The sequence below is a fragment of the Homo sapiens genome, chromosome 17, assembly GCF_000001405.40.
Source record: "Homo sapiens chromosome 17, GRCh38.p14 Primary Assembly".
In the NCBI taxonomy this organism is placed as follows: domain Eukaryota; kingdom Metazoa; phylum Chordata; class Mammalia; order Primates; family Hominidae; genus Homo; species Homo sapiens.
Genome location: NC_000017.11, coordinates 8,238,864 through 8,255,251, shown reverse-complemented (window position 1 = coordinate 8,255,251; position 16,388 = coordinate 8,238,864). Strand labels below are relative to the sequence as shown.

Sequence of the window (16,388 nt, the reverse complement as noted above, 5' to 3'; positions counted from 1 at the left end):
GTACGACCATACAGAGCAGGCCTAAAGCCAGGAGCACCTGTCCCTGCTTCTCTCTAGAGCTTAGGATCTAATCTTGTATCTCTGGCTCATCTCCTCCTCCTGATTCCCCATCACCTCACCGAGAGCCGGTAGCGCCGGGTGGTCTCCACACGATCCACAGGCCCCAGCCCAGTGGCGCGGCACACTGACACGATGTTGGTGGATGTTGGGGTGGAGAAGTTCAGCCTGAACAATGGGCCTGATGGTTAGGACTGGAGAACCCCCGGCAGGCCTCAGCTGGGAGGGTGGATCCTGCCTACTGCTGTCTGGACAACCTCCCACCGCTATCCCCTCACCATTGGCTTTCAGCCTCAGGCTGGGCAACAAGAAACCTGCTTTTAAAGTACACTCAAACCAAACCAAAACTGTCCTCTAGCATCAAAACTATTTGATTTTTTTTTCTTTCTGTGAGGCAGAGTCTTGCTCTGTTGCCCAGGCTAGAGTGCAGTGGCGTGATCTCGGTTCACTGCAACCTCTGCCTCCCGGGTTCACACCATTCTCCTGCCTCAGCCTGCCTAGTAGCTGGGACTACAGGCGCCCGCCACCACACCCGGCTAATTTTTTGTATTTTTAGTAGAGACGAGGCTTCACCGTGTTAGCCAGGATGGTCTCAATCTCCTGATCTCGTGATCTGCCCCACCTCGGCCTCCCAAAGTGCTGGGATTACAGGCGTGAGCCACCGCGCCTGGCCAAAACTGTTTGATTTTAACTTGGAATCTAATTTATTTTGCTTTGAGAACATGTTTTGGAGCAGGCTAGGTCTTTGGAGGGATCTACCCAAATGGGGAAAGCACATGTGTGGTTTCCTAGGCAGGAAGTAGCAAAGAGCAAAGGAAAAGCAAATCTCCCAAGGATCACAAGAGGAAGCAAAGGAAAGCAGAAGAAAGGGGTGGGCAGGATGAGATACTTACCTGGGCCCGACCTCCAGCAGCAGGTCATTGGAGCCAGGAAGGAGCCAGGACTCCCGAGCAACATCATCCAGCAGTAAGGGGCAACCAAACAGCCACATCAGCTTCTTTGTCTCCTCAGCACTGGGGAGGGCCTCAGCTGCAGGGAGACAGGGCAAGGACACCTTGAGACACTGCCCCCAGCACCGAGGCATGTCCCCCAAGAATCTAATACCTGGGCCCAACCTGTCCAGTTCACGTTGTAGCACAGTTCAGTCTCGACGCCCTGCAGCTCTGGCAGTTTCCCTTGCAGTTTCCTCCGAGTGTGTCCAGGGGCTGCCCCCTCATGGCCAGAGGGACGAACATAGAAGTGAAGGACTGGGGACATCTCTGCAGGTGTCCTTTGCTGGAGAGAGGTGTCCTTTGCTGGAGAGATGTGTCCTTTGCTGGAGAGATGAATTAGGTTCCTAAAAAATAACATTAACTAAGCCGGGCGTGGTGGCTCACATCTGTAACCCCAGCACTTTGGGAGACTGAGGCAGGTGGATTGCCTGAGGTCAGGAGTTGGAGATCAGCCCGGCCAACATAGTGAAACCCTGTCTCTACTAAAAATATAAAATTAGCTGGGTGTGGTGGCGGGCGCCTGTAATCACAGTTACTAGGGAGGCTGAGGCAGGAGAACTGCTTGAACCCGGGAGGCAGAGGTTGCAGTGAGCCGAGATCGCGCCATTGCACTCCAGCCTGGGCAACAAGAGCAAAACTCCGTCTCAATAAATAAATAAAATAAAAATAACATTAACTATGGCCTATCTGTTGAACTGATTTCAGATTTCAAGGAAAATTGCGGCGTTATGGATAGGGTAGGGGAAAGTAATATGGACATTTAGAGAAACAAGGTAACCTGAAAAATGTAACCTTGGAGATTTTAAGGAATCTTGCAAAATGTGGTCTTTATTAATGTGGTAGGGAGGTGTACAGGCACACACCTGACACGTGTTCCTGGAGTACATGCACTTTGCTGGGCCCCAGTCAAGGTCTTAGAAACACCGCTGTGAATCAAGACAGAAACTCTGTCTGCTCTCACAGGGTTTATATTTTATTGGGGGAGAAAGGCCAAGTACCCAGACATTTCCAGTCCCGTGTGGTGAAGGTCAGGGGACTGTGGACACCAATCCTGCACTTCAGGTGTCAGGAAAAATTTCCTGAGAGAAATGGTATCAGCCATGGATTGAATGTTTGTGTATCTCCCCCTCCCAATTCATATATTGAAACCCTAATCCTCAATGTTATGGTATTTGGAGGTGGGGCCTCTGGGACGTAATTAGGTCATGAAAGTGGAACTCTCAAGAATGAGCTACTAATCTCACCAAACCTCTTATAATCTGCCCTTATAAGAAGAGGCCAGATTGGGCGGGGCATAGTGGCTAACACCTGTAATCTTAGCCCTTTGGAGGCTGAGGTGGGAGGATTGAGCACAGGCGTTCGAGACCAACCTGGGCAACATGGCAAAAACCCCATCTCTCTCAAAAAAGATACAAAAATTTGCTGGGTGTGCTGGCATGTGCCTGTAGTCCCAGCAACTAGGGAGGCTGAGGTGGGAAGATCACTTGAGCCTGGGGAGGCGGAGGCTGCAGTGAGCAGTGATCAAGCCGCTGCACTCCAGCCTGGGCAACACAGTGAGAACTTGAGATCAGGAGTTCCAGACCAGCCTGACCAACATGGTGAAACCTCATCTCTACTAAAAAAAATACAAAATTAGCCGGGCGTGGTGATGCGTGCCTGTAATCACAGCTAATTGAGAGGCTGAGGCAGGAGAATCACTCGAACCCGGGAGGCGGAAGTTGCAGTGAGCTGAGATCGAGCCATTGCACTCCAGCCTGGGCAACAAGAGTGAAACTCTGTCTCAAAACAAACAAAAACAAACAAACAAAAAAGGATCTCTGATCACAAAGCTTTTGTTTAAGAATTTATTGCTTGATGATATCATGTCATAAATTATTTATTTATTTATTTATTTTCTTTTTCTTTTTTTTTGAGATGGATTCACTCTGTCACCCAGGCTGGAGTGCAGTGGCACAATCTGGGCTCTCTGCAACTTCTGCCACCTGGGTTCAAGCAATTCTCCTGCCTCAGCCTCCCAAGTAGCTGAGATTACAGGCATGCGCCACCACGCCCAGCTAATTTTTGTATTATTAGTAGAGACGGGGTTTCCCTATGTTCGCCAGGCTGGTCTCCAACTCCTGACCTCAAGTGATCTGCCCGCCTCGGACTCCCAAAGCGTTGGGATTACAGGCGTGCGCCACCATTCCGACCCATAAATTATTAAAACAAAAAAAAAGAATTGCTTAAGCAGGGCTGGGCATGGTGGCTCACATCTGTAATCCTAGCACTTTAGGAGGCCAAGAGGGGCAGATCACTTGAGGTCAGGAGTTCAAGACCAACCTGGCCAACGTGGTGAAACCCTGTCTCTATTAAAAATACAAAAAATTAGCCGGGCGTGGTGGCAAGCACCTGTAGTCCCAGCTACTCGGGAGGCTGAGGCAGGAGAATCACTGGAACCTGGGAAGCAGAGGTTGCAGTGAGCCAAGATTGAGCCATTGCACTCCAGCCTGGGTGACAGAGTAAGACTCTGACTCAAAAAAAAAAAAAAAAAAAAAGAATTGCTTAAGCAGATCCTGAATTCCAGCAGAACAGCTGACTCCACCAGCTCAAAGACTCCCACAGAAGCCAGGAGCAGTGGCTCACGCCTATAATCCCAATGCCTGTAATCCCAGCACTTTGGGAGGCCAAAGCAGTGGACTGCTTGAGCCCAGGAGTTTGAGACCAGCCCTGGGCAACATGGTAAGACCCTGTCTTTATAAAAAAAAAAATTAAAAATTAGTGGGGCATGGTGGCATGTACCTGTGGTCCCAGCTACTCAAGAGGCTGAGGTAAGAGGATCGCTTGAGCCCATGAGTTTGAGGCTGCAGTGAGCTACGATTGTGCCACTGCACTCCAGCCTGGGTGACAGAGCAAGACCCCGTCTTTCTTTTTCTTTTTTTGAGATGGGGTCTCACTCTGTTGCCAGGCTGGAGTACAGTGGCACGATCTCGGCTCACTGCAACCTCTGCCTTGCGGGTTCACGCGATTCTCCTGCCTCGGTCTCCCGAGTAGCTGAGACTACAGGTGCACACCACCATGACCAGCTAATTTTTGTATTTTTAGTAGAGATGGGGTTTCACCATGTTCGCCAGGATGGTCTCAATCTCTTGAACTCGTGATCCACCCACCTCAGCCTCCCAAAGTGCTGGGATTATAGGCGTGAGCGACTGCGCCAGGCAGACCTCATCTTTCAAATTAAAAAAAATAAAAAAAAAAAAAGACTCCCACAGTGGAACCAAGTGAGCATGAGAATCAGTTTCTTCATCTCCCTGTTTCATGACCTCACCCTGCACTCTTCAATCAATGATTTTCACACTTCATCCTAATCCTATTCCAAACTCTTTTTTAAAAACCCTAGCCCCAAAGTACTCTGGGAGATGGATTTGAGGTTTCCTCCTGTCTCCTTGTTCAGCAGCCCTATGATTAAACCTCTTTCTCTGCTGCAACCTGGTGTCTTGGTGTATTGACCTCCAGTGTGCATCAGGCAACAGAACTATTACAGTTAATACTTTTAGCCTAACATTCAAAGGCCCTCCCCATCTATCCCAAACTACCTATCCAATTTCTGGTCCCACTGCCTCTCAGCGGGACCCTGGCTTTACTCACCAAACTCTGCTGTTCCCCTAGTCTTGCCACTCAGTAAACACTACCATCATCCAATTTGTTGCTCAAGACAAAAACACAGAAGTCATCCTTAATTCTCTTTCCCTCAGACTCTCTAAATCCAATCCACCAGGAAATCTATTTCCAATCATGTCTCAAATCTCTCATCTCTTCATCTCTACTACCTCACTCTAGTTCAAGTAAGCCACCACCATCACTCACCTGGACCAATGCATTAACCTCCTGACCACTGCATAACCACAATTCATTTGTCACACATCAGCATAAAGTGGATTATGGCTTCCCATTACACATGGTATAAATTCCAACTCAGCATCCTGGTTTACCAAGTCTGGCCACTCTCTGGCCTACCTTTCCAACCCTATCTCACACCATTCTCTTTTTCACCCACAATGCACCAACCACACATTAGCTTCTTTTTTATTTCTCTAACTTGCCAAGCTCAGTCCTGGAAGGCATTTTTTTCACCCTGACATATGCATGGCTAGCTCTTGTTATTTAGATTTCTGGTGATTCGCCTTCGTGGAAAAGGCTTCACTAGCCACTCAAGTAGTTACTATCAGATGGCCGGCCCTATTTTAATTTCCTGTAAAGCGCTTATCACTATTGGATGTTTTTATTTTTCGCTCTATATTCCCCACTAGAAAAAAAATCTCTACGTGGGCATGGGATGTTGCTGCTTCGTTTCCATTGAATTACCAAGGCTTAGAACAATACCAGGGCTTGAAACGCAAAAAAATTCTAAAACTTGTGGAATGACTTAATGAACTCTTGATTCTCACCACTCTTCAGCCCCTCCCCAACTTTCAGGACAGTCTTCCTGAAGGCATTTTGTTTATTAAGCCACTTGATTTCCGTCTATCATTCCCAGTAAAATATAAGCTTCAAGAGCTCAGAGACAGGGTTTGCGTGCATGAGGGCTGTATTCCATGACCAGCATGGTGCCTGATATAAAGTAGGCGGCCGGCAGTCTTTCTGTTAGCTGAATCCATGAATGGGACAATGGGGCTAAATTTACATGGGGGTCGGCCATGCCTGGGGTCTGCGGAACGCACGCAAGATAGGACGAATGGACGCCTCCACTAAAGCAAATACGCGGGCACCAAGTAGACACAGCTCGGCCCGGTGGGGATACTGAAGCCGCCAGACCAAGCTTGGGCTAGATGACGAAACGCTGCACCTGGAGGAGGATCCAGGTCCGCACGCGGTAACTATACTCACGTGGAAGATGCACTCGCGGCCACAGAGCACCTCGAATCGTCGCGCGCGTTTGTTACGTCATCCGCGTGCGCCGCGGGCAGAGACTGGACCTGCCAGCGCCGGGGCGACTACGCCCCGCCCACTTTTCCCCAGCCACCCGGCCGAATTCTAGGTTCTTGGTGGGGAGAGGTTTATCCCCAGGTGGTTTCTCCCACAAATCTGTCTTGAACTGACGTTTGTGAAAATACATTCAGTTCCCCGTCCCCGCGGGGACAGTTAAGTAATGACATCAGTTAGTTAAGGCCATAAAGCAAGCATGTGAAAGTTGTGCTTTGGTGGCATTACGAGGAAGCCCTTCTCTGCTTGGCAAGATCAGGGAGACTGAAAGATGCTTAGAAGTCATCCACCAGGCGGGCTGTGTTTGAGTTCCTGAGCTCTGCTACCCCATCCATCTGAAGGCCTGCGGGATGCCGGACAGGATGTCACTTAGGAGGGAGACGGAGGCTGGGCGCGGTGGCTCCCGCCTGTAATCCGAGCACTTTGGGAGCCCGAGGCGGGCAGATCGCTTGAGCCCAGGAGTTCGAGACCAGTCTGGGCAACATGGCGAAACCATGTCGCTACAGAAAAATACAAAAATTAGCCGGGTGTGGCGGTGCAAGCCTGCGATCCCAGCTACTTGGTGGGCTGAGGTGGGAGGATCGCTTGAGCCCGGGAGGTCGAGGCTGCAGTGAACCGAGATGGCGCCGCTGCACTCCAGCCTGGGCGATAGAGCGAGACCTCGTCTCAAAAAAATCAGAGAGGGCCAGGGGCTGTGTTTCACGCCTGTAATCCCAGCACTTTGGGAGGCTGAGGCGGGTGGATCACCTGAGGTCAGGAGTTTGAGACCAGCCTGGCCACATGGTGAAACCCCGTCTCTACTAAAAATACAAAAAAAAAAAAAAAAAAAAAAATTAGCCGGGCGTGGTGGTGGCAGGTGCCTGTAATCCTAGCTACTCAGGAGGCTGAGGCCGGAAAATCCCTTGAACCTGGGAGGCGGGGGTTGCAGTGAGCCGAGATCGCGCCACTGCACTCCAGCCTGGGCGACAGAACCAGGCTTCGTCTTAAAAAAAAAAAAATCAGAGAAAAGAGACAGGGGTGTCGGGAGTTGGGATGGTGCACCGAGGCGCCTCGCGGAGTCTCTAGGAAGCGAGGGGGTGAGCAGCGAGAAGGAGCTGGAGGTGGCGAGGAAACCCGCTCACCGGTGACGTCACCGAGCGCCCCCCCACCCCCATCCCCACCCCCAAGCGAGCACCTGCCCCTCCCGGGGGCGGAGCTCCGGCGCATCATGGCGGCTGGCCGGGCCCAGGTCCCTTCCTCCGTGAGTGCTGCTATTACGTCTCTTGTTCCTTTTTTCTTGTTTGTCACAGATACTCTTTCTCTTCCTATTTCCTCTGCCTTGTCTCTCTGGGCTCGCTGGCCGCGTCCGGCCCATGGGTGAGGGGGTTGTGAGTCGGTCCGCTCCTACCTCTTACTGGTTCTGCGAATGTTTATTCCCTCATTCACGCGGCGCCCGCTGTGAGCCTTAAACTGGTCTCCGTTCACTCTCTAGGGTTTAATCCTGGTGGGAAACCAGGAGCAGGTTAATGGGGGAACTATGGGGCTGTGGGTTCCTGGAGAAGACCCTTGACGGAGCTGTAGGGGAAAAGGGCAACCATAATAAGTAAAAGCGTCTGAGACCCGAAGTGCGTGTAGAAGGCAAAAAGCGCCGAAAGGGGCTGGGTGTGGTGGCTCACGCTTGTAATCCAGCACTGTGGGAGGCGGAGGCGGGCGGATTACTTGAGGTCAGGAGTTCGAGACCAGCCTGACCAACATGGTGAAACCTCATCTCTACTAAAAATACAAAAATTAGCCGGGCGTGGTGGCGCGCACCTGTAATTCCAGCTACTCAGAAGGTTGAGGCAGGAGAATCGCTTGAACCGGGTAGACGGAGGCTGCAGTGAGCTGAGATTGTGCCACAGCACTCCAGCCTGGGCAACAGAGCGAGACTCTGTCAAAAAAAAAAAAAAAAAAAAAAAAGCGCCGGAAGGGGTTTCAGGACGGAAGCAAACACATATTCAAAGGCAGGAGGATAGAGCAGGTGTCTGAAAAACTCAAAAGTTCAGTTGGGTGGTGGTGGAGGGGTCAGAGCTGACAGTTTTGTACCTCTTGCTAAGCAGCGACTTTAACATGAGGGTAATTGGGTGTGGTGGCACACGCCGGTAATCCCAGCTGCTCAGGAAGCTGAGCAGGGAACCACGGAAGTGGAGGTTGCAGTGAGCCGAGATCGCGCCACTGCACTCTAGCCTGGACGACAGAGCCAGACTCCATCTCAAATAAATAAATAAATAAATAAATAAATAAATAAATAAATAAATAAGATGTTAAGAAAATACAATCTAAAGGATTGGTTTGTGTGCGTGTGTGTGTGTGTGTGTTTTGAGACGGAGTCTAGCTTTGTCACCAGGCTGGAGTGCAGTGACGCGATCTCGGCTCACTGCAACCTCTGCCTCCCAGGTTCAAGCGATTCTTCTGCCTCAGCCTCCCGAGTAGCTGGAATTACAGGCATACAGGCACGCGCCGCCATGCCCAGCTCATTTTTGTATTTTTTTTCTTTTTTTTAAGTACAGACGGTGTTTCACCATGTTAGCCAGGATGGTCTCGATCTCCTGACGTCGTGATCTGCCCGCCTTGGCCTCCGAAACTGCTGGGATTACAGGCGTGAGCCACTGCACCCAGCCAGGACTGGGACCTATGTAGGGAAAGGAAGGAGCTAAGGAGGACATCTAGGTTTCAGGATAGAACAACTGTTTGGTTAAGGGTACTATTTGCTAAGTTAGTGAACATAACACTAGAAGAGTTCTAGAAAAGGACAGGGTTTTGTGGAAAGTTCAGTGTTGGGCATGTGTGCTGCCTGTGGATTGGCCATGGAGAGTCTGGCAGATGGATAGGACTAAAGCTCAGGAATGAGATCTCAGCTAAAGTAGACATACAGGAACAATCATCATCTGGCCATGGCTGTTAAACCCATGCAGTGGTTGAGATAATTGTGGGAAAGCATATTGTGTTCTTAAACTTCAGCCTGTATTAATCTGGATCTTCCTCTTCCTCCCTCCTTTTTTTTTTTTTTTTTTTTTTTGAAACAAGGTCTTACTCTGTCACCCAGGCTAGAGTGCAGTGGCACCATCATGGCTCACTGCAGCCTCAACCTCCCTGGGCTCAAGCGATCCTCCCACCTCAGCCTCCCAAGTAGCTGGGACTACTGGCGTGTGCTACCACGCCAGGCTAACCCAGCTAATTTTGAATTGTTTTAGAGTTTCACCATGTTGCCCAGGCGGGTCTCAACCTTCCCAGGCTAAGGTGATCCTCCCACCTCAGCCTCCCAAGTAGCTGGGACTACTGGCATGTGCTACCACGCCAGGCTAATCCAGCTAATTTTGAATTGTTTTAGAGTTTCACCATGTTGCCCAGGCGGGTCTCAACCTTCCCAGGCTCAGGTGATCCTCCCACCTCAGCCTCCCGAGTAGCTGGGACTACAGGCACGAGCCACCATGCCCAGCTAATTTTTCTTTTTTGTAGAGACGGGTCTTTGCCTTGTTGCCCAGACTAGTAGTGAACTACTGGGCTCGAGCGATCCACCTTGGCCCCCCAGAGTGCTGGGATTACAGGCGAGAGCCACCACATCCAGTCTGCTCCATTTTTACTCAGTAGATGAAAACACGAATTTGCCTTTTTAACAAAACTTAGGTAATTTTACCTTGAAGCCATGGGATCACTTTGAGAGACAGTCGTATTCAGTGCACCAAGCAAAGGATAGGCCATCCGAGAAACAGGAACTACAAAAGAATACTGGGAGAGGAAGACAAAAAGCGTGAGAGTCGGAACTTTGCTTATACTGGTGGGGCAACTCTGAATGGTGATTTGGTCTGCCTTCCACAACTCTGACCATGAATGAGTGTGTGGCTGAAGTGGGCTGAAAGTCAGTGGTAGGGCTGTCCACAAGGATGCTGAAGACATCTAGAACTTGAAGACTTTTTTTTCCTTTTAACTTTTATTTTAGATTCAGGGGGACGTGCGCAGGTTTATTATGTAGGTAACCTCATGTCATGGGGGTTTGGTATAGAGATTATTTCGTCACCCCTGTACTAAGCATAGTACTTGATGGGTATTTTTTCCAATCTCTCTCTTCCCACCCTCAAGTAGGACCCAGTGTCTGTTATTTCCCTCTTTGTGTTCACGTGTTCTCGTTATTTAGCTCCCACTTATAAGTGGGAACAAACATGCAGTATTTGGTTTTCTGTTCTTGGATTAGTTTGCTAAGGATAATGGTCTCCAACTGCATCCATGTTGTAGCAGAGAACATGATCTCATTCTTTTTTATGGCTGCGTAGTATTCCATGGTGTATATGTACCACATTTTCTTTATCCAGTCTACTGTTGATGTGCATTTAGGTTGATTCCATGGAAGACTGGCTTTTCTAGCTCTTTTCGAGCTCCTTAAGATTAGAAGAATGTGAAAGGCCAGGCGTGGTGGCTCACGTGTGTAATCCTGGCACTTTGGGAGGCTGAGGCGGGCGGATCACTTGAGTTCAGGAGTTCGAAACTAGCTTGGCCAACATGGTGAAACTTCGTCTCTACTAAAAATATAAAAAATTAGCTGGGTGTGGTGGTGGATGCCTGTAATCCCAGCTACTTGGGAGGCTGAGACAGGAGAATCACTTGAACCCGGAAGGCGGAGGTTGCGGTGAGCCGAGATTGCGCCATTGCACTCCAGCCTGGGCGACAAAGCAAGACTCCGTCTCCAAAAAAAAAAAAAGAGGAATGTGAAAGATTGACCAGGATGTTAATATATGAGCATTGGAGGACCAGGGAAGGAGCTGTAATGGCTTAGAAGTAGCATTAAGGGAGAAGGATAAAGGGCCTACTGCCAAGTGTGTTAAAGCTGCCTAGCACTGGGAGTAGGCCAAACTGGTCCTTTTCCCTAAAGTTATCTACATATCATGGCAAGTGTGTGTCCAGAATCTGTGTCAGGTATACAAAGATAGTCCATATCCTCCTCAGGAAGCCCACACCTTAGCTGAAAAGACAACAGGAAACAAATCAAGTGAGGTTGTATCTTGCATATATTTAGTTTGTGGGAAATGCATACCTTTGAATAAAAAAAGGAGATGATTAAAAATTATACTCTGCCTATGTCCTTTTTATGTACTGTCCACTATTAGGCACTTATACATAGTATGGCACTATGTCTTACTCATTTTTGGTTTTGGTTTTTTTGAGACAGTGTCTCACTCTGTCACCCAGGCCAGAGTGCAGTGGCGCCATCTGGGTTCACTGAAGTTTCAACCGCCCCAGGCTCAGGTGATCCTCCCATCTCAGCCTCCCGAGTAGCTGGAAGCACAGGCATGTGCCACCACGCCTGGCTTTTTGTATTTTTGTAGAGACATGATTTCGCCATGTTGTCCAGGCTGTACTTGAACTCCTGGACTCAAGCAATCCACCCTCTTTGGCCTCCCAAAGTGCTGGGATTACAAGCGTGAGCCACTGCACCCAGCCTGTCCTGTTCTTTATGAACGGTTTAAAGGATTGTTCAACAATGTTTTTGTCCATTCTTGGTCTTCAACGTACTGACTTTAGAACCAGATTCCATGTAAGATGGCATGAGTACAAGTTTGTTAGAGAAAGGGGCAAGACCAAAGCTGGATGGCCAGCTGTCTACGGTATGGCTGGACTAAGACTTTTAAGGTTTCTTCAAGTTCTAAATTCCTTTACTTTTGATCTTCATTTCATGTGCCCTCTGGATATTCTTTTCTTTTTTTTTTTTTTGAGACGGAGTTTCCCTCTTGTTGCCCAGGCTGGAGTGCAATGGCTCGATCTTGGCTCACCACAACCTCCGCCTCCTGGGTTCAAGCAATTCTCCTGCCTCAGCCTCCCAAGTAGCTGGAATTATAGGTGTGCACCACCACCCCCAGCTAATTTTGTGTTTTTAGTAGAGACAGGGTTTCACCATGTTGGTCAGGCTGGTCTCGAACTCCCAACCTCAAGTGATCCGCCTGCCTCAGCCTCCCAAAGTGTTGGGATTACAGGCGTGAGCCACCGCACCCGGCCCGGATATTTTTTTCTAGTCCTTTATTCTTCCCAAGTTTCCTTGGTGGGCCGGATAGTCAAGATGTTTTAACTAAATTCACTTTCCTCAGGAACAAGCCTGGCTTGAGGATGCTCAGGTCTTCATCCAAAAGACCCTGTGTCCAGCTGTCAAGGAGCCTAATGTCCAGTTGACTCCATTGGTAATTGATTGTGTGAAGACTGTCTGGTTGTCCCAGGGAAGGAACCAAGGTTCTACACTGCCCCTCAGCTATAGGTAAGGAGAGGTGGCGGTTGCGGGGGCTGGGCAGGGGCAGGTATTGAATTCAGGATTGAAAAGTAAGGTTCTATAATTAGAAAAAGGGCAAGTGAGAGAGTGAGCGGAGGACAAGGTAGTCTAAACATACCCCTTCTGCAGAGCTTTTCTAACACTATCAAGCTTTCCTTTTCCTAAAGTTCTCCTGAATTGGCTTAAGATTAAAGAAAAAGAGAGGAAGAGGGGAAGAGAGAAAGAAAATTTGGAAAAAGAACTCTCGAAGTGGGGAAAGAGGCTGGTGTTATCTTTATTTTGTGTATTGGGAAACAAAGATACAGAGAACTGTTTGACATTACCAAGTGCAGATCATTGTGTTTAAGATGTGAGTTTTAGGGCTTCCGAGAGTGTGTTTATATATATATGTGTATATATATATATATATATATATATATTTTTTTTTTTTTTTTTTTTTCTCTCTACACTATCATTTCCAAAAGTGTTCTAGGCAACGTTAGTAAAGCACAAGAAAAGGGGTTCATAGCTAAGTAAGTGTGAGGGACATTGAATATGATAAACGTCTCTGGGAGAGTCATAGGGTTTATTAACATATTAGAGGCTATGACAAGTCCTGCAAAAGAAACCTATTTATCTCCTCATAGAAGTAATCACTATTGGCCAGGTGCAGTGGCTCATGCCTGTAATCCCAACACTTTGGGAGGCTAAGGCAGGTGGATCACCTGAGGTCGGCAGTTCGAGGTCAGCCTGCCCAACATGCTGAAACACCATCTCTACTAAAAAAAATACAAAAATTAGCCGGGCGTGGTGGTGGGCGCCTGCAATCCCCAGCTACTCAGAGGCTGAGGCAGGAGAATCGCTTGAACCCGGGAGGCGGAGGTTGCAGTGAGCCAAGATCGCACCATTGCACTCTAGCTGGGCAACAAGAGCGAAACTCCATATTTAAAAAAAAATAATAATAATAATCACTATCTTGGAGATGGGATATATTATTCCAATAAATATTTTAATAGTTTTACTACACATGCATCTATCCTTAAGCAATATAATGTAGAGTTTTGCATAAGTGTAGACTTTAAATAAATGGTACCGTACCCTATGTAAATACCCTCCGTGATTTGCTTTTTTTTTTTTTTTTTTTGAGACAGGGTCTCACTCTGTCCCCCAGGCTCTAGTGCAGTGGTATAAACATGGCTCACAGCCTTTACCTCCTGGGCTCAAGCAATTCTCCTGCCTCAGCCTCCCACATAGCTAGGACCACAGGTGCATGCCACACTGGTCTCGAACCCTCAGGCTCAAGCAGTCCTCCTACCATGGCCTCCCAAGGTGTTGGCATTATAGGCATGAGCCACCGTGCCTGGCCTGCTTTTTTTTTTTTTTTTTTTGAGACGGAGTCTCATTCTGTTGCCCAGGCTGGAGTGCAGTGGCATGATCTCGGCCCATTGCAACCTCTGCCTCCTGGGTTCAAGTGATTCTCCTGCCTCTTGAGTAGCTGGGACTATGCGCCACCACACCAGCTAATTTTTGTATTTTTTAGTAGAGATGGGGTTTCACCATTGGCCGTACTGGTATCGAATTCCTGACCTCAGGTGATCTGCCGTCTCGGTCTTCCAGAGTGCTGGGATTACAGGTGTGAACCATTGCACCCAGCCCCTGCCTGCTTTTTGTGCTTAACATTATACTTCTTTTTTTGTTTGTTTTTTGAGATGGAGTCTTGCTCTGTCACCCAGGCTGGAGTGCAATGGCATCATCTCGGCTCACTGCAAGTTCTGCCTCCCAGGTTCAAGCGATTCTCCTGTCTCAGCCTACCAAGAAGCTGGGATTACAGGTGCCTGCCACCACACCTGGCTAGTTTTTGTATTTTTGCAGAGATGGGGTTTTACCATGTTGGCCAGGCTGGTCTTGAACTCCTGACCTCAGGTGATCCGCCCACCTCAGCCTCCCAGAGTGCTGGGATTACAGGCGTGAGCCACCGCGCCCGGCCCATAGTGTATATGCATATCTTGAGCCTGTGTTTACCTTGGTTAAAAAATTATTTTTATTTATTTTTCCCTATTTGGTAGGCATTAAATGATATTTTGTTACATTAATTCCAAAGTAATTTCTTTTTTTTGGAGATGGAATTTCGCTCTTGTGGCCCAGGCTATAGTGCAATATCGCGATCTCTGCTCACTGCAACCTCCGCCTCCCAGATTCAAGCAATTTTGCCTTAGCCTCCTGAATAGCTGGGATTACAGGCACTCGCCACCATGCCTGGCTACTTTTGTATTTTTGGTAGAGACGGGGTTTCACCATGTTGGCCAGGCTGGTCTCAAACTCCTGACCTCAGGTGATCCTCCCGCCTCGGCCTCCCAAAGTGCTGGGATTACAGGCATGAGCCACTGCGCTTGGCCTAATTCCAAAGTAATTTCTGAGGGTACTTGTACACGGTTTTGTTTTTTTTCCTTTTTATCATTTTATTTCACTGGACTGTTTTTCCTTTCTTTTCCTATAATTCTTGTCCACGTCCATAACACTTAAGATTACTTTTTTTGGCTGGGCGCAATGGATGGCTCACGCCTGTAATCCTAGCACTTTGGGAGGCTGAGACGGGTGGATCACGGGGTCAAGAGTTCGAGACCAGCCTGGCCAGCATGGTGAAACCCTGTCTCTACTAAAAATACAAAAAATTAGCCAGGCATGGTGGCACATGCCTGTAGTCCCAGCTACTTGGGAGGCTGAGACAGGAGAATTGCTTGAACCCGGCAGGCGGAGGTTGCAGTGAGCCGAGTTCACGCCAATGCACTCCAGTCTGGGCGACAGAGCAAGACTCTGTCTCAAAAAAAAAAAAAAAAGAGACAGTTCTCTCTGGTTGCTTTTTCCTGGGCCTTCAGATAAGTAGGAAAACACAGAGAAAGAACATGGACTTTTGAATGAGGCACATCTAGCTTTGCCACCCATGCCTCTGTGTACCTGAGCCTCTGAGTTTCCCCATTGGTGGTGTTTACAGGGTTTTGAGGTGAAGAAAATTCAGCGTTGTGCCTGACCAGACTCAGTATAGTATAGCGTGCATGGCAGGGGCCAACAGGTATTAGTTTCTGTCTTTGCCTTGTGTCTTCTCCAAAGCTGTCAGGGAAGGAGAGCAGATGCAGAAGGGGAATGGCTTTCTAGAACAGCATTCTCTCTCTTTGATACTCATTTGTGTATAATGTTCTTGAGTCCAACAGGGAGGATTAATTGTGATGTTTTGTAACTCGATCCTTTTCATTTCCACTTAAAAAAAATCATGGGGCCGGGCACAGTGGCTCATGCCTGTAATCCCAGCACTTTGGGAGGCTGAGGCAGATGGATCACCTGAGGTCAGGAGTTTGAGACCAGCCTGGACAACATGGTGAAACCCCATCTGGAGAGGGTTCCAGATTTCAGTCTTGATTTCACTCCAGCCTGGGCAAAAGAGTGAGACTCTGTCTAAAAAAAAAAAAAAAAAATTCAGGGGAATGCAAGCGAGAATAATGGTATTACAAAAAGGTGAATTTATCACAACGTTGATAATTTAACCATTACTTGTATCACATCCAACACCCACATCTCAGCCTCAGCTTCCCCCCTAGTCTCTAGTACTGTGCTATTCTAGACTAGAAAGGAGCTTGACTGGGGTCATTGTAGTTGGACTGTTAGATGCCTACGTGGTCCCATTAAGTTCTCTCTGGAGTTAAGAGCTGAGATGCTTTCAAGAGAATTGCCTTTGTTACTTACAAAGTGTTCTCCCCACACATTCATTTCCTCAGGCCCCTCATGCATTCCTACTTCATTTCTCTGGGTCCTCTCCCTGGCACCATCTTGTTGAAGATACTATTCAGCACGGAATTGGACTCAGATCCCATCCTTATTTTCTTTTTCCTTTTTTTTTTTTTTTTTTTTTGAGACAGTCTCACTCTGTTGCCCAAGCTGGAGTGCAGTGGCGTGATCTCAGCTCACTGCAACCTCCATCTCCTGGGTTCAAGCAATTCTTCTGCCTCAGCATCCCAAGAAACTGGGATTACAGCTGCACACCACCATGCTCGGCTAATTTTTTGTATTTTTAGTAGAGATGGGGTTTCACCATGTTGGCCGGGCTGGTCTCAAACTCCTGACCTCAGGTGATCCAC

At 48.3% G+C, this 16,388-nt stretch overlaps 2 protein-coding genes across 21 annotated transcripts in view, besides 4 other annotated features; one reads left to right on the top strand and one right to left on the bottom strand.

Moving 5' to 3' along the window:
- Positions 1–7,644, bottom strand: part of PFAS (phosphoribosylformylglycinamidine synthase) — a 22,879-nt gene extending 15,235 nt beyond the window's left edge. For 4 of the 7 annotated variants that reach the window (NM_012393.3, XM_047436296.1, XM_006721546.4 and 1 more), the window contains exons 1-4: positions 5,913–5,963; positions 1,173–1,393; positions 951–1,086; positions 120–225 (exon numbers count right to left, since the gene is read on the bottom strand). In NM_012393.3, the coding sequence (NP_036525.1) occupies positions 120–225; positions 951–1,086; positions 1,173–1,314 (384 nt within the window). In that variant the 5' untranslated portion in view covers positions 1,315–1,393; positions 5,913–5,963. Of the gene's footprint in view, positions 1–119; positions 226–950; positions 1,087–1,172; positions 1,394–5,912; positions 5,964–7,395 lie in introns of those variants that run through there. The other 3 variants (XM_024450804.2, XM_047436297.1, XM_047436295.1) reach the window with 2 other exon arrangements.
- Positions 5,779–6,535: an enhancer, noted in NCBI's record as "H3K27ac-H3K4me1 hESC enhancer chr17:8152035-8152791 (GRCh37/hg19 assembly coordinates)". NCBI's record gives its function as "activates a minimal SCP1, AML or CMV promoter by ChIP-STARR-seq in naive H9 embryonic stem cells {active_cell/tissue: H9 hESC(naive)}" and the evidence as "EXISTENCE:reporter gene assay evidence [ECO:0000049][PMID:30033119]".
- Positions 6,660–6,779: an enhancer, noted in NCBI's record as "active region_11691". NCBI's record gives its function as "activates an Ori minimal core promoter by ATAC-STARR-seq in GM12878 lymphoblastoid cells {active_cell/tissue: GM12878}" and the evidence as "EXISTENCE:reporter gene assay evidence [ECO:0000049][PMID:35858748]".
- Positions 7,120–7,169: a silencer, noted in NCBI's record as "silent region_8178". NCBI's record gives its function as "represses an Ori minimal core promoter by ATAC-STARR-seq in GM12878 lymphoblastoid cells {active_cell/tissue: GM12878}" and the evidence as "EXISTENCE:reporter gene assay evidence [ECO:0000049][PMID:35858748]".
- Positions 7,196–16,388, top strand: part of CTC1 (CST telomere replication complex component 1) — a 23,242-nt gene continuing 14,049 nt past the window's right edge. For all 14 annotated transcript variants that reach the window (NR_046431.2, XM_047436799.1, XM_047436801.1 and 11 more), the window contains exons 1-2: positions 7,196–7,248; positions 12,104–12,267. Coding sequence is in view for 13 of the 14 variants with exons in the window: in XM_047436799.1 (XP_047292755.1) it covers positions 7,216–7,248; positions 12,104–12,267 (197 nt within the window). In the remaining variant the exon portion in view is untranslated. The remainder of the gene's footprint in view (positions 7,249–12,103; positions 12,268–16,388) is intronic.
- Positions 7,260–7,399: an enhancer, noted in NCBI's record as "active region_11690". NCBI's record gives its function as "activates an Ori minimal core promoter by ATAC-STARR-seq in GM12878 lymphoblastoid cells {active_cell/tissue: GM12878}" and the evidence as "EXISTENCE:reporter gene assay evidence [ECO:0000049][PMID:35858748]".